A 14,695-nucleotide genomic window follows, 5' to 3' on the forward strand; every position below is an offset into this window, starting at 1 on the left:
TGAGATTATAATGGGAAGAACCTGGCCAACTTCTAATTATTCTTCAAAATAGCCCAGCTGCCACCATCTCTAGGCGGTTTTCCTTGATCTGAAGAAGGAATAATTCATTTCTAATTGCATTTATTACTGCATATGCTATACTGTCTTCAACTTATTGGTTACATATGCAGCTTTCTACAAACATTTTGGCAATTTTAGATTAACCAAAAGGGTGATGGGAAAGTAGAGAAAAACACAAATAGATTTAAATTCAGTAGAATGACCGCTTCCAAGTATCTCATGACTTTCTTCTTATCACCACAAAAATTTCTTGCGAGAGTTTTATTCTTATATTGCTGTATCCACAACGCTAGGAACAGTATCTGACTAGTAATAGCTATTTTGTATATGAGGTTTAATTAGACATTAAAGACAAAGAATAAAAAAAAAAAAGGCTAGGTGCAGTGGTTTGCGTTTGTAATCAGCATTTTGGGAGGCCGAGGCAGGTGGATCACTTGAGGCCAGGACTTCGAGACCAGCCTGGCATACATGGTGAAATCCCATTTCTGCTAAAAATACAAAAATTGGTGGAGTGTGGTGGAACGCGCCTGTGGTCCCAGCTACTTGGGAAGCTGAGACAGAGGAATCACTTGAACCCAAGAGGTTGAGGCTACAGTGAGCCGAGATCATGCCACTACATGCCAGCCTGGGCAACAAAGAGAGTGCGACTCTGTCTCAAAAAAAAAAAAAAAAAAAAAAGATAAAGAATAGACAAAGTGGACAAAGAGTAATAAAAAGGTGAGGGCCGGGCACGGTGGCTCACGCCTGTAATCCCAGCACTTTGGGAGGCCGTGGCGGGCAGACCACGAGGTCAGGAGATCGAGACCATCCTGGCTAACATGGTAAAACCCCGTCTCTACTAAAAATACAAAAAATTAGCCGGGAGTGGTGGTGGTCACCTGTAGTCCCAGCTACTGGGGAGACTGAGGCAGGAGAATGGCGTGAACCTGGGAGGCGGAGCTTGCAGTGAGCCAAGATCGCGCCACTGCACTCCAGCCTGGGCGACAGTGCGAGACTCAGTCTCAAAAAAAAAAAAGAGGTGAAAAATACAGTGAGTGCAACTGAGGATAAATCATGTTGAAAAATAAATATATAGACTTTCAGTTAAAGGTTATGAATTGTACACATGCATTTTCCTCTAGTTCTGTCTCAAAACTCCATTTGAACAATAGTTTAAGGACTAAAAAATAAAGACAGAAACCCAGAAGGATAAAGAAATCAGAAGAAAACAGAGCTTTTTGGAAGATGGAAAGCAGATGGGAAATGAATTAGCAGAACTAGTAAAGCATAATTATAATTCAAAATCTTATAATTCAAATATAAGCAAGAGAAATATGAGCCAAATATAAGCAAAAAAAAAAAAAAAAAGTAAATATAGACTTCTATATTTACTCAGAAGCCACCGCAGAATCCCCAGGCTGGGTAGCATTAGGTACCTCTGAAAAGAGAGGTCCAAGTAGGAGAATTGGTTGAAAGTGTATTTAGAAATCTATGAGACCCCTTACCTTTTACCAGCAGCAAAGTGACTATCCTGGCATATTGCAGGTTTCTTTCTCTAAAGAGAGTAAAACAGCAGATCTTGAGATCGCAGAATACTGAGCAGAGTTGAAAAGTGGGTCCATGCCCCGTGAAAAAGGGGTATTGAATTAAAAAGGGGGTGATCAAATGTGTACATACCACGTACTAAATAAACAGACTTTCTCCTCACACAACCTCCAGGATACAGGCATCCAGGCTTATACCCTCAAGGTAGAGGCTGGAGGAGACTTTTTCTGGGGAATCTGATCATTCCACGAGGAAAAAATTCTGACATTGCGGTATGAAATGGCTTAGCGAGATAATCCTATACCGAAGCCCATGGACAGTCCTCTGTACACAGAGCTTTCTGGTGTCCTACGCTTAAATATGAGATACTCGAAGAAAGTATTTTGAAATCCAGAGACCAAAAAGAACAGACAAACAAGAAACACAGCCTAAGCAGGAAGATGAAAATTTCTAAAAACTATTATAAATATGCTCCAAGAGATGAGAGAAAAATTTGTGTTGGTGAAAGAAGAATAGTATTATGCAGGAAAGGAACATTGGATGAAAGGTTAAAAATGAGAGCTGAAGTGAAAACAGTAAGTGGGAGGATTTCCAGATAAATCTGAGGAAATAATCCAAAAAAATACAAAAAAAAGATGAAAAATAGAAGAAAATAAATGAACCATATCAGAAGGTATAACATCTGAAAATATAAAGTTCAGGAAAAAGAGAATCTATAAAACAGGGGGTAAGACATTATTAAAGAAATGGAAAAAAATGTTCAGAATTGAAGGATGGAGTTTTCAGGTTAAGTGGATTCAGCACAATGAATGAAAATAGACGCACATCAAAACACATCATTATAAAACTATAGATCACTGGGCACAAAGAAATCTCTAAAGTCTTTCACAAAAAGGGGAAAAAAGGATGTTTCCATACAAAGAATCAAAAACCAGAAAGGTAATAGACTTTTCAAAGCCTCCCCTAAAAGCTAGGAGAAAATTGAACAATGTATTATTCAAAATGGATTCTTCAAGCTGAGAATGTTATATCTGGCCAAGCCATTCATTAAGTGGGATAGTAACATAAAAATCTTTTCAACTTAAAAGTTCTCAAAAAATTACTTATCAGATAACCTCATTTAGGAAGCGATTTGAGAAATCACATACTGAGAGGGGGAAAACCAAGACAAAAGTGGAATCCAGGGAACGGGGGATCCAACGCAGAATATGCACAAATGAGTCCCCAAGATAATGACAAAGGAAGATTCCAAAGTGTCAGTCACCCAAGAGGTCTAGAGAACAATCTCTCTGCCTAAGACCAGTTCAGGAGGCTCTGTGGGTATTTCTTCAAGAGGAAATCAGTAATTACCTAATGTATTTGAATGTATTAAAAGGAGGTTTTTCACAACTTGGGAAGAATTTGGGGAAAAATTAGCGATATGTACTAGAAAAACTAAGCAAAAGAAAAATCTTTTGGAAAATGAGTGGACTGTGCAGGGAAGGAAATATACTACACAATCAACTGCAAATAACACTTATATAATCATTGTAATATAAATATTGAAAACTGAGCCACAGTGAAAACATAGCTATCTCGTGGGACCCGGTGAACAAAAGCTTGCCTGGGTTAAGTGGAGCAGAGGGTGAAAGAGAGCCAAATCCTCATTTCCCATGCTGGGAAGTTAATTTATAATCCCTAAACTAAAATACAAATTAAGAAGGAATATTATAAGCATATTATTTAGAGGATATGGAGGCAGATATGGAAAGCACGAGCTGAAAGAACTGAATGCACTTGTCTCATTGAATAATTTGATTCTTTAAGCTATGCGTGTAAATCACATCGATAAAAATAAAATTTAAATTTGTAAAAAAGGAATTTATCAAGTTGTAGAGAAAGTAAGATGTTGACCTCTATCTACCCTTGGTTCTTAGAGACTATTTTACTTTCTAAATATTCATATTCACCAGCCCTCTTGCTCTTTAAGGATTTAAAATAGCCCTTCTGTCAATTTAACAATGTTTTATTTGCATTTTAGAGATTTCTATATCATGGCTTTTGTGATTAAAATTGCTCTGGAAGGCTAAGCCCAGCAGCCATATTGTCTGTTTGCCTTTCTGAATCAGGTTTCAAATGGTGAGCAAGGGCTCAGCCTCTCCATTCCTGTTTGTGTTTACTCAGGCAGGTGCCATTTTGTGACAAAGAAGATAAGATCTGTTCCCAGGACTGTAAGAGGTGACAAGTATATTATTTGAACATGTGGGAAAACTATTTAAATAAAAATGCCCAAGATTATCATCACCCATATCAATCAGTTTAAACAGGAACCAAATAAATGTCACCCTGCCTTCACGTACTTACTGGCAACTTATCCGCCAGGTATCCACAAAGAACAGGGAGGCAAGATGTTGACGCCAGTTGAGAATTTACTGAGTCAGGTATAGAGAAAATAGAAACTGCATAAAAATTGGATGTTAGTAAGCCTTAAACCACTATTATCTAATTTAATCTTTAGAACAACCTTATCAGGTATTTATTTATTAATACCCCAAATTTACAGATAAGACACTTAGAGTTTAAGCAACTTGTCTACAGGAAAGAGACTGGGAATCAAATTTATGTCTATTTCATTACAAAGTCCAACCTCTTAAACATTTGCACTGCTTAGGTGAGAGCTTATAAATCGTCTTCATACAGTGGGGACGTTTATGTTTGTGAGTATATGTGCATATACGCACACATTTGTTTGTTGGGAGAGTGAGAATTATCAGAATACCAGAATATTCTGGACATTCTATTTTGATGTGTCACCCATTGGTGTCCTTGTAATTTCTAAGGGAAATAAATGTACCAAGGATAAAGCCAAAACCACGTGCTCTCCTTGTAACTGTGCGCTTTGACCCTAAATATCTACATAGTCAGTCGCTGGTGAGCTAGACTGAGTGGTGTGAAAAAATGCCTGGCAAGAGACAAAGCTGAATGCTTTCTCCTCTGGACATTTTCTAACCAGTGCTGTGCTGGAGAAACTTGTACTGGCTTGTAAGAGCCAATAGCTGAATTTTTAGGAATTTTGCTAGCCAGTGGGTGTCAAGTTGGTAATTTGAAATGGGCCATGGTGGGAGTCTTTACTTATACCACAGTACTTTAGCTCCCCGAGTCGAACCACTCACATGCAGAGGAAAATCCAGTCCAGGAAGAGCAAGCTGCTCCATACAAGTGCCAAAGAGCTTTTCCCAAAACCTGGAGCAGAGCTGACCTAGGTCTTTTGGCCCAGACCTTCATAGGGCACAACAACAAGAGATTCTGACCTTGTCTAATTTTGTGAAACCTGATTGGAGAGGAGTGAGCAGTAAAAGAGAATGAGAAAGTCAAGAGTGACCCAAGCAGATGGCTGGACCACTTCCCAGGAGCAGCAGCCTCTCTCAGACTCTTCTTGCCTCTTCACCCGCTTCTGGCTTCAGAGTTGAACTTCTTTGCTCCTTCATAAAGTTTTACTCTCAAGCACTGTAACCCAAATACTACCTTTGAACTTTACCTGCCTTCAAGGACGCCCTTTAAGTGGGGGCATTGCAGCTTTCCCAGGGCTACAGAAATTTATCAGCTGCACATTGGAAAACAAGCCATGCCACCTATTGCAACCATGTTTTTGTTTGCTATAAAACAGAGTGTTAACACCACCCATTCGGGGATGCTTGAAGAACAAATGTCAAGATTCCTGATATGCAGCCAAACATGACAAACAAAAAAAATTATTGTTATTGTGATTGTCAATATTATGACTATGGATTTGGGCACTTATCAGGAAATATATTTGAAGATCAGAAAGAATCTAACTGGAGTTATGCCATTCATCTCAGAGGCTAAAACAGCTTATTTGATGAATTTTTAAGTAAATAGCAGGCTCAGGAAAATGTTGATGCTCCATGGCCAGCATCCCTGATAATTCTAAGAGGTTACACTACTAGACTCAAACTTCAATGTTGTTATCGAGCTGGCACCAGGTAAGAGGTCACTGAGAAGCACACATCAGTCATGAGAACCTTATTTGTCAGCCCACCTACCCCTTTTACCTAATAAGTGTTTAATAGCTGGTTTTAACCTGGGGGCCTTGATTCCTTGATCCACTTATTTCTGTAGGATACAACATGGGTTTGCGGGCACACTGCCCTCACAGATGGCTTCACACAGAAGTGCTGCTCTAGCTCTTCCCTGCAAGTAACTAAGTGATGGAGAGTTGGGAGTAGAATTATTCTAACTTGTTTGCCATAGATCAAGGGGCACTGCCTGTAAACTTCCAAGTCTTTTTGATAGACAGTGAGGGTACCAGGAATTGGCTAGGGAGGGGAATGGCTAAAGATCAATCTCATAGTCTATATAACACCTTTTCCTCCAAGTCAGCATAAATCAATACACAGCAGACAACAGAACAGCACACTTGCTGCATAGAGGTAGATTTACAGCAAGCTCTCCAGCCCCTTCAGCAATCAGAAGACCACCCCTCAACTCTCTCTGCAGTGAAATTCTGGAGTTGCCACTTAGGGCAAACATCTCTAAACAGGTGAAGGGCTGCAGTTTAGAGGAAGAAATGGAACTAACAGATATAGTCCAGATTAAAAACTTCAGCAAATTGGTGGAGGCTCCAAGGAAGCAGTTATGGTTCTGCTAAAACAGAACTTTTACATGACTAAGAGTCCTGGTGTACACAAAATGAGCATTGAATATGGTTGGAAATCTACTTCACATTTTATTAGTGACACTTTAATATATTTGGAAACTTCTCCCACAAAGAGTCAATCTTCATGGATGAGAAATTCATTTAGGAAGTATGATATCTTTTAATCAAGAGATTTCACCATCTATTAGGCCTGGAAATAAACTACAAATGACCTCCAATTTCCTGTAGCCAGTCACCATCCTTGAAAGCCCTGTGAATAATTCATGAAGGTGACCCATTGCTTCTCTCATCTGTATCACAGGTGATCTGATGGTTTCATTGACAACCATCTTTGTTATGTAAGTGAAGAGTGTGTGTGTATGCACGTACACATAAAGCAGTAGATGAATTTCTCCTTTAGTTTACGGCTTTGGAAAATGTCTCTACCTATGCTATAAAAAGGTACACTTTCTTTTATTCAAATGATGACGGTAAGGTTACATCCCATTTTCTTTTTTGTCTTGGTTAACAAAAGACTCAACTCAATATCGTCATCTCCTGTAGAAATTTACTCCGAATAGAATTTTGTTAAAACTACTTTTTCCCTCCTCTCCAAAGAATTTGAGAGAGCAAAACTCCCTTTGGAAATTTGGCAAAAGTTGAATGCATAAATAAAATCAATAATGAATACCTAAAATGAATAATAAATAATGTATAACATAAATACATTCATACATAAAACATACTACTGACCTAGTCTCTCAGGAATCCAAGTTTAATATTGAATGGCTTTACCTGACTGTTGCCTATTACAATTACCTAAAGAAATAGAAGAAGTTGGTATGTATTTTAAACTTATTATATATTAGTTTTCCAATTAGGGAAATAGGACAATATATGTACTTTTCTTAGTGTGTAAAAATATTTTCAATAGATTCAAAATAGATTCAAAACATTTGTGTTTGAACTTCCAGGTTACAGTTGTAATTTTTGATATATATTTTGCTTCTGTGGGGTAAAGATAAGCATCCTTGCTTCCTGAGAAAAGAAACATCATTATTTTAATGATGAGTAATAAGCATGTCAAATGTCCAATGAATTTGCACCTCACAGTCTTTGCTGTCAACATAAAATTTTGCAAGGCCGGATATGAATTTTGCAGTAGCTTTGTGAAAGAAGGTGGGTGTCGCTTTTGTCAAACAAACCAACCTGTGTATTAAAACATTCTATGTTTGATAAGCCTTTTGTCACTAACAAGTCCTGATTAAATTATCATTATGCAAAACATGGCCTTGGCAGTGCCAATGCCAATATTGATATTGACCTCACCTTGGCCACCCAGCACAGAAGAACTTTTTCATTTTATTTGACTTGCAACTTTTGTTCGTAAACCTGGTCTTGTACATATTTACTCTCTTACTCTCTAGCACCTCATACCCACAGATACTGGCAATAATCAGGCTATCACATTTCCTCAATATTCATCCAGCTATGATTAGCTTTCTTATTTGTAAGATATGGCATTCGTGTGAACAATTCAAATTCACTACTGGCAAATAATGATAATGCAAAAAAATTAATTTCAAAATTACTTCCTGTGTTTACACAATGGCTTCCAAGACTAAGTTTAATTTGATGAATAATACTGATCAGACAACTCACACACACTCTCTCACACACACACACTAAATATTTGCAGGTACTTTTCTTATTATGTTGACCAGTAAAACAATAAAATTGGTAAAAATTGCATCTATTCATAAATGACAGCGGCAATAGTCTTTTTGAACAAGTTATTTGATTCCGTTTCAAATCATTAATATATATGAATACTCTATTTGCAATTTAAATTTAGAGAAATTGTATGTCAGAATGAATATCTACCCAGTAAGAGATTTAATTGTATTTTCTCCAATAAAATTTCAGGACACAATTTTCCGAGGATTAAAGGCTATTAAATGTCAGGCTATTACTATGCCTGACACCAGGCACAATTTATAAACACATGGAGAGCCAGGGCTTGTGTCATGGGATGCCACAAAGTAGAGTGGCAGTGAAATGGTGAGGTTTCTATCATCCTCTGATATATCACTAGGGGAAAACTACGAGACACTGACTCCAAGCAAAAGCTGATTACAGAACATTGCTTTGCCCAACATAAGGATGAAGAGATGATCCTAAGAGACCTTGAAGGTAGAAAGCTGCACGTAGTATCCCAGAGTCTCCAGCACCTCATTTGTAACTGAATAAATGGTACCTACTCCACTACTATGAAGATCAATGAGAATGCATGGAGTGTTTAGTCCCATGCCTGGTGTATAGCAGGAATTTAACAAACATTACTTTCCTTTTCTAATTAAAGTTAAATTAGCCTTAATGCTCTTCTCAACCTTGAAGTAGACAAAAGATCCCTTTTCACAAATAAACTTAGTGCAAAGACCACTGGGCTAGGAGTCTGAGAATCTGGGCTCTAGTTCAAGAAACTAACCTCTGTGAGAATTTGGTTACCTCATTTTCTCTCTTTGAGTTTGTGTCACCATCTGTAAAATGTGGCTTTGACAATTTCACCTGTTCATCTAGTTTGGTCATTCTGAGCCCTTCTGGATTCCTGAGAGCCTTCCCTAATAAAGGATGTTATTGAAGTGGAGAGTCTGGTATTGTCCTGGTTCTAGCAGGGTCCCTCAAAGGGATCATTTACTGCAAAGAAAGATTAATATTAAAACATCTTTATCCCCTCAGAATATTTTTCAGGAGACCTACTATGGAAATCCATAAGGCCTGGGAGTAAGACAGGAGAACCAACAGACCCCAAGTCTATTATCTATTATCTATTATCTACTTAGATCTTTTGGCCATCATTCATCTCTGCTCTTCTTCCTGGCACACTCCTTCCACACCTTGTCCCTGTGATAAACTCCTTTGTGATTAAACTTCAAATGGTATCATAAGGAAAGGAGGTATTCCTTATTCATCACAGACTGTGTTTGATATTCCTTCCTCACTCCCACCACCAATGCCTCACCCTTCATAAGTTTTCAGTACATAGTTTTTGAATAAATAAATGATATATTAGGTACTTAAAAAAAGAACTAAAATGACAGTGATTTTTTGTATTGCTCGTGTCAGAGCCCAGTAGGGTTTTTGGTAGATAGCATTCCACATAGTGATACAGGGATCAAGTTTCCTTCTATTTGTGGCTCTGTCATTTCTTAGGGCTTTAGAGTCTTCCACTGGATTTTTTAAGTCTGATAACCAGCTAGAGAAGAAATAGCAAGTCAAGAATCTCATGGGAGAATTTGGGCACCAAGCCTGGAAATGGTGTACATCACTTTTCCCAATGTTCCTTTAGCCAGAGTTTATAAATACATATTCACAACACTGCAGCAAAGGAGGCTTAAAAATGTAGTCTTGTGTATCCAAGAAGAAGAAACTGGCTTGGAGACCACCTAGGAAATCTCTGCCCCATAAAATTGTGTGCACACTCTACTCTAATTTTCTGTTGATGTAACTATTTTATTTTCTAGATTAGAAACTCCTTGAGATGAGAAAGAGTGACTTACCTACGGTTATGTCCTTATCACCAGACACAAGGGTGGGTGCTTGTGTTTGCTGAACTGAAAGATATTCTAGGAGTCTATTGCCTTAGATATCATCTATTCAGTGAGTTTGGCATGATTACCATTTTTCAACATTTCTTATCCTGATATTTACACATGAGTTACAGATAGCTTGGCATCTCCCTTGTATAGATAAAATGCAAGTCAATTCAATCAACACTTATAGTGCATTTACTATGAGCTGGGCACTCTGGTACTGGCTGAGAAAATATACAGTTATTGCCTAAGATTTCAGACCTCAAAGTGTTATGGGAGACCACAGAAAAAGCAGAATGACTGTTGTACCCAGACAATGGCTTATGAGGTGACCCGCATTTTGAAGGATGAGTAGGAGTTTGCCATGAAGAAAAAGGATTGACTATTCCAGACAAATGGAGCAAGATACACAAGCCCATATGTGTAAAAGGGAAGGCATACTGCATTGAACAATGCCAAGTGCTAGAGCATAGACTAAATCAGAAGGAGTGAGGAAAGACGACCCTGTTCAGGCAGATTAGGACCGTTATGTGCAGGGCCTGGTATGCCACATATGCAAATCAAACAAACATCAAACACAATGCTCCGCTCTATTCCCACTCTCAGTGTGCAGTTGTTAGCATTGGTAATCAGCATCTCATTTTACATTAAAACAATCACAAGAGGAAACTCAGTCTCTTGCCACTTAAGTAGCTCTCCACTGCCTGAAAATAAATTTCACTGGAGCTGCATTCTCTAGACCTGTATTGAATTTAAACTCTAGAGTGACCTTTTACTTAAACGTATCTCTGGACTACCCAGCATGAGACAATATACCCAGCTATGCATTGCAGGAAGATTGCTGAACAGATACCCTGCACTGAAAATGCCCAATTTATCATCATGAAAGATCACTGAGTCCCACACTGGCTTGAATCCCTGCAAAGAAAGAGGGCATGCAAAATATGTCCAATGCCCAGTCTTGTTTTGTAGGTTCCCACGTTGTTTGGGAGCCAACTAGTGTTGGCTTTTTGTTGTTGTTGTTTATTTTGATCTCTCTAGGAGAGGTAGAAGAGGGTTAGAAGATCTTGCCAGTCATTAACTTCACATGCTGATGACCCAGGACTACAGGCAGACAGAGGAAGGGGCTGAGTAAATATCCAACTTTTCATTCCCACTGAGCTAAACCAACTGAGGAATTTAATTTAATGCACCAAATAATCATTCATTCTTAGCTGGTATTTCAATGGTTCTTATTCCTATTAGGTACTATATGTTGCCACACACAATGAGAAACACCTCCACTCCCAACACTCAGTATTTATGGGCATCTCAAAAAATTATTGTACACATTAACAAATCCATTAGGTAGTTCATTCAATGCCATGTAGCATGCATTATTGTTACCATCCTTCTGCTTTCCTCTCTCTTGGATGGGGACCACCTTGTCCTTCAAATCCACTCTGTCTGCCAAGAACTGCTAAGTTGTAGGTAAGTGCAACGAGAAGGAATCAATCATGTGGAGGGGAGTGTTTGAATTGGCCTGGAGGAGGACATAAGAGGTTACTGGGATGTGACATGAATAGAAAGAGATTTCCACGGGGAGGGGTGGAGGAATTTGAGGCAGAGAGCAACCATGTGCACAAAAGAGATGGCTACAAAAAGGTATGCCAGGTCCAGAGTGCAGCAAGAAATTTGATATTACTGGAATGTGATGTATAGAAGAAATGAAGCCAACCAAGTGTCTGGGATGCTGGGATGCTGTCAGAATGGACTTGGATACCTTGGTGAGAAATTTTGGTCTATTCTGGGAGTAACAATGGTCCCTGAAAAATATTAAGTAACATTGGGTAAGTAGCATAATCAGAGTCGTGCTTTAAAATAATCGTTTAGGAGGCAGTGTTGAGAGTGAACTAGGGTAGCAATTGTCTGCCTAGTATTCTACTTAGTATTGGCGGTGAGCGGGGGGAAATTATGACTAGCCAGAGTCCCTGCTCTCAAGAAGCTTAGACTCCTGGGAGAATAAGTATCTTCAGATAATGTGGAAGAAGATACAAAAGAAGAGGAGAATCCATAAATCACAACGCACTCCTTGTGTTCAGAAATAAAACTCATTTTCTACAAAATTTCCTCCTACGTATTATGGTATGCTGCAGTGATTTTCAAAGTCTTTATTTAGCCTAGAACCCCTTGCTCAAACAAAAGTTAGGTGGAATCAGTAACAAAAAAGTCAAGGAGAAGAGGCTCTGTTCTGGTAAAAAGTAGGGTAAGGAGGCAGAAATCTATTCTTTCATGCTCCACTCCCAATCCTGGATTGGCTTCTTAGGCCACTTACAGCTCAGCAGAGAGCAGTTTGAAAATGATTGATCGGATTAAGGGAACTTGGACTTTGCAGTCCAGGAGAGTTGAGTTTTAATTTTAGCTCTGACATTTATAGGAAATGTATTCTAAAGCAAGTCACCACATTTTTCTGATCCTCAGTTCCCTCATCTGAAAATAGGGGCAATGACAACTACAGTCATGTATCACTCAATGACAGGGATATGTCCTGAGAAATGTTTTTAAGTGATTTTGTCATTGGGAAAACATCATAGAGTGTGCTTACACAAACCTAGATGGTATAGCCTACTACACCCCTAGGCTATATGGCATAGCCTATTGCTCCTAGGCTTCAAACCTGTACTGCATGTTACTATACTGAATTCAGTAGGCAATTGTAACACAATGGGAAGTATTTGTGTATGTAAGCATAGAAAAGATACAGTAAAATGCAATATTATAAGTTAATAAGACCACCATTACATATGCAAACCATCATTGACTGAAATGTCATAATGGGACACATGACTGTACTTCTAAGAGTTATTGTGAAAAATCAAATGAGATGATGTAAAATGATTAACAGAGAGTAGCTGAAATTGATAAGCACTGAATGAATGATAGCAATCATCATCATCATCATCATCATCATCATCATCATCATTTCATATGTAATTAGCAAAGGATTTTCTAAAAGTGAGACCAGCTTATCACTCAATCCCGGCTAGCCAGTTGCATATTCTTTTGATGAAGTTAACAGGATCAGTTCCTCAACTTTAAAATTCCAGGAAGTCAATCTCACCAGCATACCTCGAAGTGACCAAACTTTGATGGATCAACTGCAATAGCCAAACTCATAAAACAAGAATATGCAGATTGGTTACCAATATAAAATTTATAATGGGATAGAGACCCTTCTAAGAGCAAAAATAATTGGTTTTGCTATTCCAGATACCTCTTTCCAGTTAGGAGAGTTGGATGTGCTTCCAGAAACCTGGTCAGCATGCAGAATAGCTCCAGTAGCTCTCAGCTATATGGACCCTTCCTGACCCAGAGTTAGACCCGGTGAACTGATTACCAGAATCCTCAAGCTCACCAGGTACTGTGCCCTTCACTCACCCAAACAAGGCCTTTGGTAGAGTACAACAAATACTGATGACCTCTTACCATGTATTCAATTTAATGACCTTAGATGTCAACTATGAGTCGGTCATGGTTCTAGATGGTTTAGATACACACATTAGCCAAGTTAAGTAACGCTAGCTGCTATGTAAACCACCTCTATAACCTCAGCAGGTTAACACAATAGACCTGCTCACAGGTCTTGCTCACATAATGGTCAATATTTCTTGCTCACATAATGGTTCAGTGTAGGCTGGGCGATGCAACTGGGTAGCTCTCCTCCAGGCAATAAGTCAGGTATCCAGGTGTGTGAATCTGCCATGCAGGTGGGGGACACGGTGCATGGAAGATTATATTAAACCTTTCATGGTCAAGGCTAGAAATGTCATACAACACTCTGTCGACATTCAATTGGCCAGCACCCAGGCGCATGGCTCTGAAGAGGCTATTAAATGAGCTGCCTTTATGTGTCCAAGAACAAGAAATGAGGTTGATGAGCTACATTCTGCCTCACAGTCCGTCCGATCTCTTTCCTGGTTGGGTTTACATCAACTATCTCTTTTCCTGGCTTTCAGGCAGCCCATGATTGGTTGAGCCTATCTTTGCTTCAAAGTGATAAAGGCAGTCCTGTTGAGTGGGACCTGGCTGAATTTAATGACAGACTATCACAACCTGAACCTGAATACTTTGGCAAGACGTGACATTTCCATTCATTTATATGGCAGAGCATGGACTATCCACCTGTAAGGGCAGGCCACTTCCAGTCACTCTCAAAGGGTCTCTATTTCTAAATTCTTGTAATATTTTATGCTATCCTCTATAGACTGACATAATCTACTTGCTTACATGTTCCTTTTTTCTGGAAGGCCTTCTGTCATTCCATAAACTGGTACAAATATCTTGTCTGGGTGCATTTCTTTCTTCTTGAACCTTCCGCACCGTAACATCCTTTACATTTTATTGTCATTTAACCTTTTGATCTTTGAGATAGACAAGGGAAGGGACCGTGTCTTGAGCACATATTTCTTTATTCTTAGCATCTAATACATTACATAAAATGTTAAAGCCACTGAAATGTTTTTATTTAATTAATCGTTTATTTACTTAATTTAGTATTATTTCTTGAATGCTGACTGACTGAATGAATGATTGAAAAATGAAGAAAAGCCAGGTATGGTGGCACTCATCTATACTTCCAGCTACTCAGAAGGCTGAGACAAGAGGATAGCTTGTAGTCAGGAGCAGGAGGCTACAATGAGCTCCGATGGAGCCTATTAATAGCCACTGCACTCCAGCTTGGGTAACATAGCAAGGCCCTGTCTCTAAAAAGATAAACAAATAAAAATTTAGAAAATAAATAAAGAAGATTAAGAGAGTGTAGAGTTGTCATTCAGCCTGCTTTAAAGTTTCCAGACTAGCTTTGGAATTTAGAGGAAAGAAATGAAAACCTCTGGATGGCTTA

General features: G+C 38.7%; 1 long non-coding RNA gene across 3 annotated transcripts in view, besides 1 other annotated feature; it reads right to left on the minus strand.

The window, feature by feature from the left end:
* Positions 1-14,695, minus strand: part of LOC105376214 (uncharacterized) — a 401,533-nt gene that overhangs the window by 84,100 nt on the left and 302,738 nt on the right. The gene's annotated exons all lie outside the window — the stretch shown is intronic.
* Positions 7,776-7,945: an enhancer, noted in NCBI's record as "experimental_104415 CRE fragment used in MPRA reporter constructs". NCBI's record gives its function as "activates a minimal promoter by MPRAs in K562 erythroleukemia cells, with activity observed for both the introgressed and non-introgressed 9:110897485 variant alleles {active_cell/tissue: K562}" and the evidence as "EXISTENCE:reporter gene assay evidence [ECO:0000049][PMID:34662402]".

Source organism: Homo sapiens, chromosome 9 (genome assembly GCF_000001405.40).
Source record: "Homo sapiens chromosome 9, GRCh38.p14 Primary Assembly".
Lineage (NCBI taxonomy): Eukaryota > Metazoa > Chordata > Mammalia > Primates > Hominidae > Homo > Homo sapiens.